Raw genomic sequence first — 12,994 nt, 5'->3', positions numbered from 1 at the left:
CAGGCCTGGCTAATTTTTTGTATTTTTTTTGCAGAGACGGGGTTTTACCATGTTGCCTAGGCTGGTCTGAAATTCCTGGGCTCAAGTGATCTACCCACCTCTGCCTCCCAAAGTGCTGGGATTACAGGCATGAGCCACTGCGCCTGGCCAGACTTCTTTTGTGCAAAAATGAATCAACACAGCCATGCAGGTTTTGACTTTTCTGCACACGGCAGCATAGCATACTTATAGTCCGCTTCTTGTGTCTGTATTTAGCACTGCCTTTTTGGTGATCTTTCATGTTAATATAGGAAAAGATGTGTTTTTTTCCTCTTACACAAGTTCCATTGTATGGATAGACTACGACATTTAACCTGTTATACCGAACTTTTAATCCAGTGGTCTGAGTTCAGTAGAATGACTTGCGTAGCATTTAGTCGGATAGTTACTGTTCTGGAATGATATGATTTTTTTTGCTCATTCTCTTAGTATTTATTGAAAACGTATTATTGGGCCAGTGGAAAAAAACAGAACAAAATAAAAAACAGTCCCATGCCTTTCTGGAGCCTGCATTCCAGTGGAGGGGGAAAGACACTAAATAAGCAGGTAGAAAGATGCAGGATCTCAGCTGGTGGTGTTCTGTGAAGGAGGAGAGCACCAGGAGGAGCGGCCAGGAGCCAGGGCTCAGGTGACATTCCATTGAAGACTCAAACAAGTGAAGAGGGGGCAGGCCACGCAGGCATCTAGGGGTGCGGTGTTGTGGAAGAGGGCTGTGCAGAGGACCTGAGGTGGGAATGTGGCTCCCGTTGTGGGAGGTTTTGAGGCAGTGACGTGGAGAAGCAGATGCCTCCTGCACCCCTGTCCTGCACAGGCAGTGTGTGGGACCCACATCCCCGTAGGAAAGTGGTTGCTCCCTGTGGGAGTCACAGCGTGACGAGGGTTTGCTGCTGCGTGGGCCTTTGGGCTTATGGATGGGGCTGGAGAGTAGTGGTGGAGCAGCCAGGCCTGAAACCACACCTTGCCTGGGTCCCTTTCCATGGGGTAAGAGTGACCTTTCCTCTGTCTGCTGGGAAGAGTGTGAGTGGCATCGTCTGCCATGTGGCCAGGGTGTCACGGAGCGGCCCAGGCTCTTGGTGAGAGGGACTGGTGCCCCATGTGAATCCCCTGACTTGGGGTTCCTCTGATCTTGGGACCAGAGAGTCTGAGCTCCAGCTTAGTGGCCTCAGGCTGGGTGCAGCAGGTGCAGCAGGTGCAGCCTCAGGCAGGTGGCTCCTGCAGAACCTGACCCAGGGCCGGGTACTGCACAGCATGGCATTAGTCCCCTGTCTTCAGGAAAACACCAGCTGCTCCTCCCGTGTTCTGGGGCCATGCATCTCTCCCAACCTGGCGACCCCACCTTTCCACACAATTGTGTTGCATCAGCCAGAAAAGTCCGGCTGACATGACGCCCTGTTGCCCTTGTGACTTTGCAGTTGTGAATGCTGATTGTCCTTTGGTTTGTAGCACTGAGGTTTTGCTGTCTAATGTATTTTATTCCTATTTCTGCATACTTTTCGCAAAACAAGCCCTGCAGAGACAGCCTGTGTCGCTTGGGTTGTGTTCCCTGCCTTCCGCAGGGCTCTGGCTGGAGCCCCAGCCTCAGCAGTTTTGGACTGTGGTCCTAGGCCCTGTGGATTTCTATTCTTTGAAAGCTTGAGGTGTCTTGTTTGCTAATTAGTTTGATGGCTGTTGCTGTTTCATTCATTTTCCACCTCGGAGTCCTCTGGGTCTCCAGTTTTTCAGACTCGGTGAAACTGGCACTTTGGGCTTCAGCTAGAGCCCCAACATCTGCTATTAGCCCCAAAATAGCTGTGGCTTGGGCTGGAGCTGCTCTCGCCTCGGAAGGAAAGCAGTAGGCCGGACTCCCCACAGCCCTCTGCTGCTCTGCGTGCAGCTGGGCTTGAGTCAAAATTCAGCTGCAGATAGAACAAAAAGACTTTCTTCCCCTTGAAAACCCACCAGTTAGAATTTAAAAGGCTTCGCAGCTGAAGCCCGCGTGTTCAGCAGCAGATGTCACAGCTTGGACTGCAGTTGGAACTGTCACTGCCGTGTCATCTCCGAGCTGAGGCTCCTGAGGCCTCTGAATGCCTTCCACTTTGTAGTTGGTGAAGTGCGGGTTTCAGAATGGACTGTCGGGAGTTATTCTTAGGCCGTAATAATACTTGGCACGGCTCCTCCTGGTTACGAGCACTTAGCTAATCCCCAGAGCACCCTTGGTAAACATCTCTGAGTAGCTTTAACCACACACAGGTCAGGAGGCTTCTGGAAAATAAACACTCTTCCTGCCAGTTGGAGGTGTTGGGGCTCTGGTCTTGGATTTGATGTGTGGCGAAGGCTGCAATTGTTTAATAACCCTTCATGATTCAACAGCTCTTCAAGAACTTTCCTCTGTTCTTGTGTGGAGCTCGTGACAGCCAGTGGTGGTGGAGCTCCAGCCCTCTCTTCCCACAGGCACAAGCCGGGTTCCTGAGTCCCAGGGCTTCTCGGGAGGTGTCTGCCCTCCTCTTTCAGACACCCTCTGCCCTGTGTCCCAGGGCCCTGGGCCTGTGCTGCACTGAGCAGAGACTGTAGGGGACCGGCTCTCCCACTCCTCCCAGATGGGCAGCGTCTTCCGTGTCGGGAGCATGCTGTGCTGCTTTTCTCTTCTCAGTCTCTTAGTTTTTGCGGGTTCTTACGCATGTGAGGTGTGGACTTGCATGGTGGGGAGCTCAAATGGTAACATGAAGGGGAGGAGCCCTCTGAGTGCTGTGATTTGTTCCATCATTACCGCTTCCTGATCACGGTGACCTGCACTGCTGGAGTGGTCAGTGGAGCCAGGCCTCCCCACAACAGTGTTCCCATCGCCTTCTTACTATTGATTTCTATTCTTAAAATATTGTATTACTTAGCACTCTTTTGAAGACGTTCCAGTATATATCAAATGATCAAAAGTCCATAACCTTGTCCTACGTAGAAGCCAAAGGTGTCATGCAGTTTCAGGTGTTCGAGTTTCCAGAATTCTTGTGATGACATTTGTAGGATTCTTCTTTTAGACTTGGACCAAATTCTGTAACCTAATATTTGTCCTTCAGATTGACAGAGAACCGCAGGCAGTGTTTTCTCTGTCACACGTGTGGTGGGTGGCATCCTGGTGACATAAAGAATTGCCTTTGGTAACTTGCCCAGAAGGCTGTAGGGTTATTTTCTGCTTAGACTTTCCCCTATTTCTTTCTTTTCTTTTCTTTTCCTTTTCTTTCTTTCTTTTTTTTTTTTTTTGAGATGGAGTCTTGCTCTTGTTGCGCAGGCTGGAGGGCAATACCGTGGTCTCAGCTCACTGTAACCTCCACCTCCCGGGTTCAAGCAATTCTCCTGCCTCAGCCTCCTGAGTAGGTGGGATTACAGGCACCTGCCACTGCACCCGGCTAATTTTTTGTATTTTTAGTAGAGACGGGGTTTCACCATGTTGGCCAGGCTGGTCTTGAGCTCCTGACCTCAGGTGATCCGCCTGCCTCGGCCTCCCAAAGTGCTGGCATTATAGGCGTGAGCCACTGCGCGCCCAGCCTCCCCTCTCTATTTATGCAGATGATCGGTAGTTCCGGAAGTAGTTGTGTGTAAGAATCACCAGGGAGTTTGTGTGCAGCCCCTAAGCCCCGCCTTCAGGGGGGTCTTGATTCAGTGGGGTGGGGTGGGGCGGGGCAGGCTGGAGTTGCCTCAGATGACTCTGGTGCAGGTGGTCCATGCCATTAGCCCGACGTCATGACGCCACGCACCGTGAAACCATGCATCCACTGCCCTCGCCACACGCGCCGTGAAACCATGCGCCCGCTCCCCTCGCCACACGCGCCGTGAAACCATGCGCCCGCTCCCCTCGCCACACGCGCCGTGAAACCGTGCGCCCGCTCCCCTCGCCACACGCGCCGTGAAACCGTGCGCCCGCTCCCCTCGCCACACCCGCCGTGAAACCGTGCGCCCGCTGCCCTCGCCACACGCGCCGTGAAACCATGCGCCCACTGTCCTGGTTAGAGCCGAGCACATCCTCGTGTCCTGCGCTTTTTGCAGCAACTGCCTGACCACCTTTTTGCCCAGCATCAGCTTTAATGGGTGTTCAGTGCTCAATGTTATGGCTATGAGGACTTGCTTATTTTTTTTATTGTTGAGCTTTTTTTTAAATTAAAAACTATGAGATGGAGAAAGTAAGTTGGTGCAGCCACAGTGGAAAACAGCCTGTGGTGGTTCTCGGAAAAACCGAAAAGGGGATGCTCTGTCAGTGCCGCTTCTGCGTATCCACCCGAGATCATTAAAAGCAGCGTTTGGAACAGGCATTGGCACACCCATGTTCCTAGCAGCATTATTCACAACAGCCAAAAGGTGAAAGCAGCCCAGGTGTCCACCGACGGGTGAGTGGATAAACGTTGTGTAGCCACACAATGGAGTATTACTCAGCCTTCAAAAGGAAGGAGAGTCTGCCACATGCTGTAACATGGATGAGCCTTGAGGACGTGATGCCAAGTAGAGTGAGCCCGTCACAGAGAAATGCTCTATGGCTCCACTCATGTGGCTGGAGTGGTCGCATTCTTAGAGACGGAAGGTAGTATGGAGGTGGCTGGGGCTGGGAGCAGAGGGGCTGTGGGAGTTCCTCTTTAATGCGACAGGGTTTCAGTTTTGCAAAATTAAGAGTTCTGGGGATAGGTGTGGTGCTGGTTGCCCAATAACATGAATATGCTCAACACGACAGAACTGGGGACTTAAAAATGGTTAAGATGGTATATTTTATGTTAAGTGTATTTTACCACAATTAAAAACATCCCAACACGGTGGCAGGATGCCACCGTGGCCAGGTGTGGTGCTTGTCTTGGGTTTCCTCAGGATGTCCTCTTGGAAGAGCGTGGCAGGTCAGCAGGTCAGGCCTGAGGACCCCCCTTTGCTCGCTCTCTTAGCCTCGTCCTTTTGGAGGGTCCAGTCTTCCTCAGGTAGCAAGCCTTCTTGCCAGGCCACAGAAGCCCCAAGCCGGAGGAGCGGCTCTCCGGCTCCCGTGCTGCTTCTCCGTGCAAGCCTCTCTGAGAGCTCACAGTCCACCCCTGTGGACTCCTCCGCGTGCCCAGAGCCTCCTGGGCTCCTCCTCCCCACCCCGCTTGGTTCAAGGGTATGTCCTTTACTCCAGATGGTGGCCTCCGTCCTTCTCCACAGGCTGCTGTTAATACGAGAAGAGGGCGCCGGAATGCTTCCTGTAGAGTTCAGGAGGTGACCTCCTGACCCGTTTGATCGGATTCCACCTTGTTCTTGATGGGACCTCCTTTGTGGCCTCAGAAATGTCCACATGTTGGCAAAACCATTTCATCTTTTCTTTTTCTGATATGGAGTGCTCTGAAACCATTGCCTTAAACCCATTCTGTTTCCACTAGCTAAAGCTCATACACTTCATCCCCAGAGAGCCCATTTTCTTTTATTTATTTATTTACCATTTATTTATTTTTATACATAATATTTTACATATTTATGGAGTACCTGTGATATTTTCTTACGTGCACAGAATGTGGAATGGGCAAGTTTAGGGTATTTGGGGTAACCATCACTTTGAGTATTTATCATTTCCACGTATTGGGAAAAATTCTGGTTCTCTTCTAGCTACTTTGAATTATACAATACACTGTTAACTCTAGTCACCCTCCTCTTCTGTGGAACAACTGAATTTATACCTTTCATCTAACTGTATGTTCGTACCCATTAACTCAACTCTCTTCATCTGTGGTTCCGCTCACCCAGACCTTTCAATCCACTAGTTCCTGTCATTCTACTCTCTGCCTTTAGGAGGTGAATTTCCACAGCTCCCATGAGTGAAGACGTGCAGTTTCTTTCTGTTCCTGGTGGTTTCACCTGACACGGTCACCTCCCATTCCAGCCACGTTGTTACAAATGACAGGCTCTCATTCTTTCTTTTTTTTTGAGATGGAGTCTTGCTCTGTTGCCAGGCTGGAGTGCAGTGGCGTCATCTTGGCTCACTACAACCTCTGACTCCCTGGTTCAAGTGATTCTCCTGCCTCAGCCTCCTGAGTAGCTGGGATTACAGGCGTGTGCCACCACGCCTGGCTAATTTTTGTATTTTTAGTAGAGATGGAGTTTCACCATGTTGGCCGGGCTGGTCTCGAACTCCTGACCTCCTGATCCACCTGCCTCGGCCTCCCAAAGCGGTGGGATTACAGGCGTGAGCCACCGCGCTCGGCCCAGCTCTTGTTCTTTCTTACGGCCGGATAGCATTCCACTGTGTGTACATCCCCATTTTCTTTATCCATTCGTCTGTCGATAGACACAGGTTAATTCCGTATCTTTGCCATCTTTGCTGTGATAAACATGGGAATGCAGGTATCTTTTTGATACAGTGATTTCCTTTGAGTAAATACCCAGTGGTGGGATTGCTGGATCATGTGGTGGTGTTCTGTTTTCAGCTTTTTGAGAAATCTCCATACTGGGTTCCATAGCGGTGGTACTAATTTACATTCCTTCCAACAGCAGCTGAGAGTTCCCTTTCCTCTGCATCCTCACCAGCATCTGTCTGTGTGTTTTTTGGTCTGTTTATTAGCCATTTTAAGCTGAGGTAAGGTGGTATCTCATTGTGGTTTTGATTTGCAATTCCCCCGATGATTAGTGATGTTGACCATTTTTTCATATACCTGTTGGCCATTTGCATGTCATCCTTTGAGAAATGTCTCTTTGTGTCCTTTGCCTACTTTTTCGTGGGATTATTTATGTTTTTTTAATTGTTGTTATTTGAGTTTCTTTTGAGTTGTATTTTGGATGTTAGTCCCTTATTGGCCGAAGAGTTGACAGATATTTTCCTGCATTCAAGAGGCTGTCTCTTCACTCTGTTGATTGTTTTCTTGGATGGGCAGAAGCTTTTTACTTTGATGTAGTCCCATTTGTCTATTTTTGTTTTTGTTGCCTGTGCTTTTGAGGTCTTAGCTATAAAATCTTTGCCTAGACCAATGTCCTGAAGTGTTTTCCTTGTTTTCTTTAGTATTTTTTATATTTTTGGGTCTTAGGTTTCAGCCTGTAATCCATCTCCAGTTGATTTTTGTATATGGGGAACACATTTTCTTTTGATTGACACTGCCGAACAAAGGGTATACAAAATTTCACAACTTTTAACATGCTGGTTGATGATTGTACTTGAAGTGTTTTCTCCTCATGTCCCCGGCGACATCCAGACACCGCCTCCACGGTGCATGTCCTCTCCCGGCCTCCCAATGCCAGTGTGAAAATGGGCTTGGATTGCACACCCTGAAAACAGCCTCCAGCCTCCCTGTCCCTTCCACATCCATAAAGTTAACGGCATAGGGATTGTCAGGTAATAGCAGTGCACTGTACCTGTGCCGTAGGGTTTTGGAAGTGAGCCTTAGGAAGCCCAGCCGAGCAGGTAGGGAGTTGAGCCTGGAGGGGTCAGGGCTGGGGCTGAGACCCAGGTTTTCTCCCATGGGTCCATCTCCTTTTCCTTTAAGGATGTCCTGGCCTTCCCTCTGTCTCTGCAAGTAGAGTAGACTGGTCCCGTGTGACGTTCTTGAAGGCTGTCATCGAGCTCACTGTGCTTGTGCTTTTGAGTGGAAGCTGAACCCTGGTCATGAGCAAGAATGGCCAGACAGGGCTCGTGAGGCTTGGTTTAGCCAAAGTGGTGACTGCGGGTTTTTCAGCGCAAGAGGCTGCGAAGGGAGGGATTCCTTCTGGTGCCCCTGTGCCCTCCAGCGGCTTCTGCCCGTGGGAGGTGTTGGGCACGGCTGCCCCTGTGGTTGGAGGGCTCTGGAATAGCAAGCCCTGCAGCTTCAGTCCTCCCTATGATGGGGGCCTGGTCGCATGGGGACTGAGAGCCGGCAGGGATCTGGGGGCCTAGGGATGTGGCCAGCAAGTATCCAGGCTGAGAGCCCATCACGTGACAGTGCTCCCGAGGGCTGGGGTCTGTGTGGGACCATCCGCCTCAGGCGCCAGCCTTCTGCCTCAGGGCAAGCCATGCTCTCTGTTCCTGCCTGGGGCAGGACAACTCCAGGTCACACCCACCTCAGGCAAGGAGGAGCGTGCAGGGGAGCCACCCGGAAGCAGCCTCCTGCAGAGTCGGTGGGAATGTGGAGAGCCAGCCTGCTCCTTGGGTGATGGAGATGGATGCCCCGGGGCTCCAGAGTACTCAGGTTTCTCCTGTGGCCCATCAGTGCCAGAATGAGGCGTTGACCCCATGACATGAGACAGAGGCCTTCCTGGGTGACGTAGGAGACTGCCTGGTGCGTGTGCCATCTGTGGGCGCCCAGCACTTCAGAAGAGAGCTCTGTCACTGTCACTTTTCAGTTGATTTGAACCACTCCCATTTCCCCCCTCATTGCTAAATGGTTGCATTTATCATGGTCTTGGCATCACTGGGAATCGCAGAACATGGTTAGCAGAGCCTGGCCCTCTGAGATCTTACCCCAGCTCCCAGCTTTGCTGGGTGGGTTCGTACCTTGGGGCAAGAAGCTTGTTTCTAAATCGGTGTCAAATGCTCCTGACCCTGCCTTCTGCTCTGCAGGCTGCAGGGAGGCTTCCCCACAGAGGGAGGTGGCAGGCAGTGTGCCCTCTGGTGAGAGAGAACCATCCCAGCTGGGAGAACCCTGGGGCCTGGTACTGCCTGCCAAATGCCTCTCCACTGGCCTCCTGCTGTTTCAGGTCCAGTGACATGTGAGGTCCCTGAGGGGTGTGAGGCGGGGTGGTCTTGGCTGTGTAGGTGGAGCCTGTAGCCTGCCGCCTGTGACCACCCCACCTGCCGCTGGTTCTGGGCACAGGGGCTGGGAGGCGCCGTTGCAGATGTGGATATATGCGATTTTTATTTATTTGTTGTAAATAAATTCTTTGCACTGAGTTAGTGAAAATTTACAAGCCCCTTTGATTAATGCAAAACAACTTAAATATCTCATTCAAATGTTTCAGAAAAAATATCTCTTGGCTTGGAAAGGTTTCCTTACTTTCGTACTGATATTTTTAACTCCCTGAGGTTGGAAGCTTTGGGAAACTGGAGAGAATGGTCACGGCGTTCAAGGGCAGCTGCACCTTTCATCTCTGTCCTAGAGTTCAGTTTCTCTTCCAAGGTCTTTCAGTCATAAATGGTTTTTCCACGGAGCTGCTTTCTAACCCCGGTTTGCCTGTGTGTGTGAGGACAGATGGGGTCTCCCCGGTGCCAGCTACTCCTTCTGCACCCATCGCTGTCCCCACTAGATGTTCAGCAAGGGGCCTGTTCTTTGGGTGGGCAGAGGAGGCCTCTCTGGGGGACGTGGAAGGGAGAAGGCCGTGGCGTGCTCTGTGTGAATTGGCTGTGGTCAGAGGGAGGGCTTATGACCAGCCCTGGGTGTGTGTGAGGGCTCAGGGCCTGGGCCAGGCCGCAGGACATCTGCTCACAGGCTCTTGGTAGCTTTGTTCCAGTGATGGAAGACACTCCAGAAACACCAAACTAATGCTGGGCAAGGCGGCCTCCAGCTGTCCTCTGTGCCGTGCAAAACAGGCATGGGATGGCGAGGGGCGTGGGGGTGGCCAGAGACACTGTAAGGAAGTGGCCCTTCCTCTGTTTGGAGGAGGAGCTGGGTGCTGGAAGACCGGGGGAGGGGCTGTGTGAGCGCTGGATGAGCTGATGAGGGTTTCGGGGGCCCATGGGTAGGGTGCTCAAGTGACAGGAAAGGTCAGTGGCTGTCTCAGGGCAGAGTCTGGTCGGGCCCAGTGCGTGAGGTTTGCAGCGTGCGCGTTTTAGGCAGCAGGATGGCTTCTGTTAGGGGTCCGTGGTTGCAGTGTGCCTCTCCGTGGCCGTGGCTGACTCGCAGAGAGGAGCTCCCGGGCAGGCTGCTGGGAGGGTGTGCCCGGGATCCACCCGAGGCTGCTCTGGGGGCCTGGCTGACAGAGTGACTGGGACCTCTCCTTCCAGGGGTGCAGGTAGCCTCCTTGGCCAATGTCGGGGTCCCCGTTGCTCATTCAGTGGTGCGGTGCGGGCTCCCTGAGTGGGGCTGGGTGGGGCTCTCACAGCATTGCCAGCGCCTGCTTTCTATGTGGACCTGCGCTTGGTCCATGACAGGTGAAGAGAAGAACAAGGATGGGTCCTCGGGCCTGAGCTCACATGCCACTGGGTCAGTCTAGCCAGGGAGCCTTGGCTTTGTGCCCCAGGTTGTGAGGCTGGGAATGCTCACACACCACTGGCGTAACTTTGCATGCATGGCTCAGATCCTTGCTGTGTCCTCCGGAGTCCCAGCGTTGAGTTAGAAGATGTGGCTCGGGCCGAGCTCAGCTGTTGCTGATCATCGGGGTGCACTTTGAACTTTGAAGCGGCTGTTTCACATTGGAGTCTGAGTTTCCTCGTTTAAAAAATGGAAACGGTGAACAACAGGGTTGCTGGGGCATTCACTGAGACAATCTGGAATCGTCCTGGAAAGTAGAAAGCGCTACACCTGGAGATCGCTGATTTTACTCTTGTTGTTATATGTGGGTCTTCTGAAGGAGAGGTGAGGAAAGGAACTTAAAACTCGCTGAGCACCTCCCCTGTGCCAGGGGCCTGGCGGGTGCTTTTTAAACATGATTTCGTTTCCTCTGAAGAGTGACACTGTCAGGTCGTGTCTCTGTTTCTACAGGTGAAGTAAAATCGGGGCTTTCTAAGGTCATCTCCCCGGTGTTGCATAGGGGTGGGGGCTGTGGTTGACCCCAGGCTGTAGTGCGTGCATGCTGCCCTGGACCTGGGTCCACAGAGTTCACACATCCTGGGTCCCAGAGCATCAGCTACAGAGGTTGCTTTTGGCCTTCTGTTTTGTGTGCAGAATCAGGTTTACTTCTCGGGGACAGCTGGAACTGAGTGTGCCTTGTTTATCCTGCAGGACTCCAGAAGACCTTTCCAGATTCGTGGTTGAGCTGCAGCAGAGGGAGCTTGCCTTGAAGGACAAGAACAGCGCCGTCACCAGCAGGTAGACCTGGCCGCCCAGGGTGCTTGTGGGGATGCGTTTGCTTTGGAGAGTTAGGGGTGAGTGAGAGTGTGTGCCCCCTGGCTCTTGGGGGATGGCTGTCCTTCATCATGTGGTTGGCCCTGGTCTGGGAGGAGATGGGGGAGCAGGGATTTGAGGGAAGGGTTTGCCCCATGTTTCCACCATGTGCTGTGAGCCTCCGCTGAGGCACCACCGTCCATCGTTCTGACAATGTGCTAAACTGCCATGGGGTCTGGGGGTTGGCCTCCTGTTGTGGGGTCCCTCCTTGGATCAGGAGGGTTCTTGTCTTCCCAGCAGGGTTGGGGCCTCATGTGGTCTTGGGAACCAGCCCGTCGGTCACTAGCGGGCCCACCCTGAGTCTTCACGTCAGCATGAATGCAGGCGTGATTGGAAGGGGCTCACTATGAATACCAAGAGACATGCCCCTCACTCAGGAAGTCCCAAGGGCTTCAGGGAACCTGGGATGACGATCAGATATGTATTTCTTCTTATCCCACAGCCCGGCTCTTCTCTGGTTTCGCTCGTGGCTGTGAGGGGCCATCCAGGCTCCGGCATCACACCCAGAGGCGGAAATGAGAGGCCTCTTTTTTGGATCTTTTCTGTACAAGAAAGCGTTTCCTAGGACCCCCACTGCCAGCAAGGGCCCCTTATGCCTCCTTGGCTAAGAAGGGGTCTTATGCCTGCCCCTGACCAGAAGGTGGAGCTACCATGAGGGACTGAACCCCATCCGGTGGGACCTGTGGGGCTGGTGGGCAGTGGGGTGGGCTTGCGGCAGAGGGAAGGGCCGTGCAACGGGGCCCCAGGGGAGCTCTGCGCCCTGCACGGCTGACCAGGCCGTGGGTCTGTGCGGAGGGCCTGAAGCTCACCTGTTTGCCATTGATGATCAAGCTCAGCCTTGTCCTCCTGTGGAGAGAGTGTTTTAATAATTTATTAATAGCCAGAAGGAGGTTTCTTATTTTGGGGGCTGATGTCACTTTGAAAATTGGCTTTTAGAAGCATCTGGTTGTGTTGGACATAATCACATCAATTTACTGAAAAACCTCAAATGATAAAGATTGCCTTTTGCTTTCAAAGCCGCTGTCAGATGAAACAGGCATTAAAAGTGATTTGAAGTTAAAGCGTTCACACTTTACCAGGCGATCCTCATCATTTTACTTTGGAAATGAAACAGAATGAACTATTAAAGGAAAGGAAAGTTGCCTGTACTTTTCTCCCACCAAACAGGGAGGTGCTTCCTAAAATTATTTGCCTTGACCAGCAGCAGCAGGCCCATCTCTGTGTCCAGGGCCACACGGAAGGGAACATTCGCATCTGCATGCTGCCCATGTTGCCTTCGCTGTGGTCAGAGATGTGGATTGAGCCCATGGGGGGATTGGTTTGGGAATGGGGTCTCTGTCTCAGGGAGCAGCCTCTACAGTGGGCAGGTGGTCCTCACAACCCCAGCTGTGGCTGGCCTCTCAGGACCTGTGGGCTCCCTCTGAGAGCTGGGGCACCCGCCCTGGGGAAGGGTGAGTCTTGGGGCATCCCATGGACGCGCTTGGTGCTCCGTCCTGTTCTGTGAAATGGGGTCTTGGGGGTGAGACGAGGTCCTCAGTACTGCGCTGGTCTGGGAGGCCAAAGGGAGAAGCTGCCCTGAAATCCTGGGTTCTCACAAGCGTTTCCAGCTTGCTTTCATGTGTGTGTCTGTATGCTGGCTTCTGTCCCACGTGTGGCTTATTGCCCTGTGTGGGCTTCTTTAGCCAAGGTGCAGGCTCCAGATGGCGCTGGTCACCCGTCGCCAGGAGCGCTGGAGACGCTTCCCTGAGATGGGGCAGTGGAGAGGCGCAGGAGGCCTCTGGGCGTGAGGTTGGAGCTCCCGGTCCCTCTTGCCTGCAGGTCCTGGGGGGCGGCTGGTCTGCTCCTTGCTGGTCATGTGACTTGGGCAGGCACCTGGTCCTCTCTTCATCTCTGTGAGCTGAAAGGTACTGGCAGTAACGACTGGGTTGCTGTGAGGTCTGAGCCTCCTGAACTGCGCCTGGGCACTGAGCCGTCCC

General features: G+C 52.7%; 1 protein-coding gene across 5 annotated transcripts in view, besides 3 other annotated features; it reads left to right on the top strand.

The window, feature by feature from the left end:
• Positions 1 to 12,994, top strand: part of MAD1L1 (mitotic arrest deficient 1 like 1) — a 417,151-nt gene that overhangs the window by 72,851 nt on the left and 331,306 nt on the right. For all 5 annotated transcript variants that reach the window (NM_001304524.2, NM_001304523.2, NM_001013837.2 and 2 more), the window contains one exon: positions 10,857 to 10,943. In NM_001304524.2, coding sequence (NP_001291453.1) covers positions 10,857 to 10,943 — 87 coding nt within the window. The remainder of the gene's footprint in view (positions 1 to 10,856; positions 10,944 to 12,994) is intronic.
• Positions 459 to 1,407: an enhancer, noted in NCBI's record as "H3K27ac-H3K4me1 hESC enhancer chr7:2198323-2199271 (GRCh37/hg19 assembly coordinates)". NCBI's record gives its function as "activates a minimal SCP1, AML or CMV promoter by ChIP-STARR-seq in naive H9 embryonic stem cells {active_cell/tissue: H9 hESC(naive)}" and the evidence as "EXISTENCE:reporter gene assay evidence [ECO:0000049][PMID:30033119]".
• Positions 1,408 to 2,357: an enhancer, noted in NCBI's record as "H3K27ac-H3K4me1 hESC enhancer chr7:2197373-2198322 (GRCh37/hg19 assembly coordinates)". NCBI's record gives its function as "activates a minimal SCP1, AML or CMV promoter by ChIP-STARR-seq in naive H9 embryonic stem cells {active_cell/tissue: H9 hESC(naive)}" and the evidence as "EXISTENCE:reporter gene assay evidence [ECO:0000049][PMID:30033119]".
• Positions 12,536 to 12,722: a silencer, noted in NCBI's record as "fragment chr7:2187008-2187194 (GRCh37/hg19 assembly coordinates)". NCBI's record gives its function as "represses an EF-1alpha promoter that drives an FKBP-Casp9 reporter gene in an ReSE screen in K562 erythroleukemia cells {active_cell/tissue: K562}" and the evidence as "EXISTENCE:reporter gene assay evidence [ECO:0000049][PMID:32094911]".

This window comes from Homo sapiens, chromosome 7 (genome assembly GCF_000001405.40).
Source record: "Homo sapiens chromosome 7, GRCh38.p14 Primary Assembly".
NCBI lineage: Eukaryota > Metazoa > Chordata > Mammalia > Primates > Hominidae > Homo > Homo sapiens.
The sequence above is the reverse complement of the archived record's forward strand: the minus strand, read 5'-3'. Positions and strand labels throughout refer to the sequence as shown.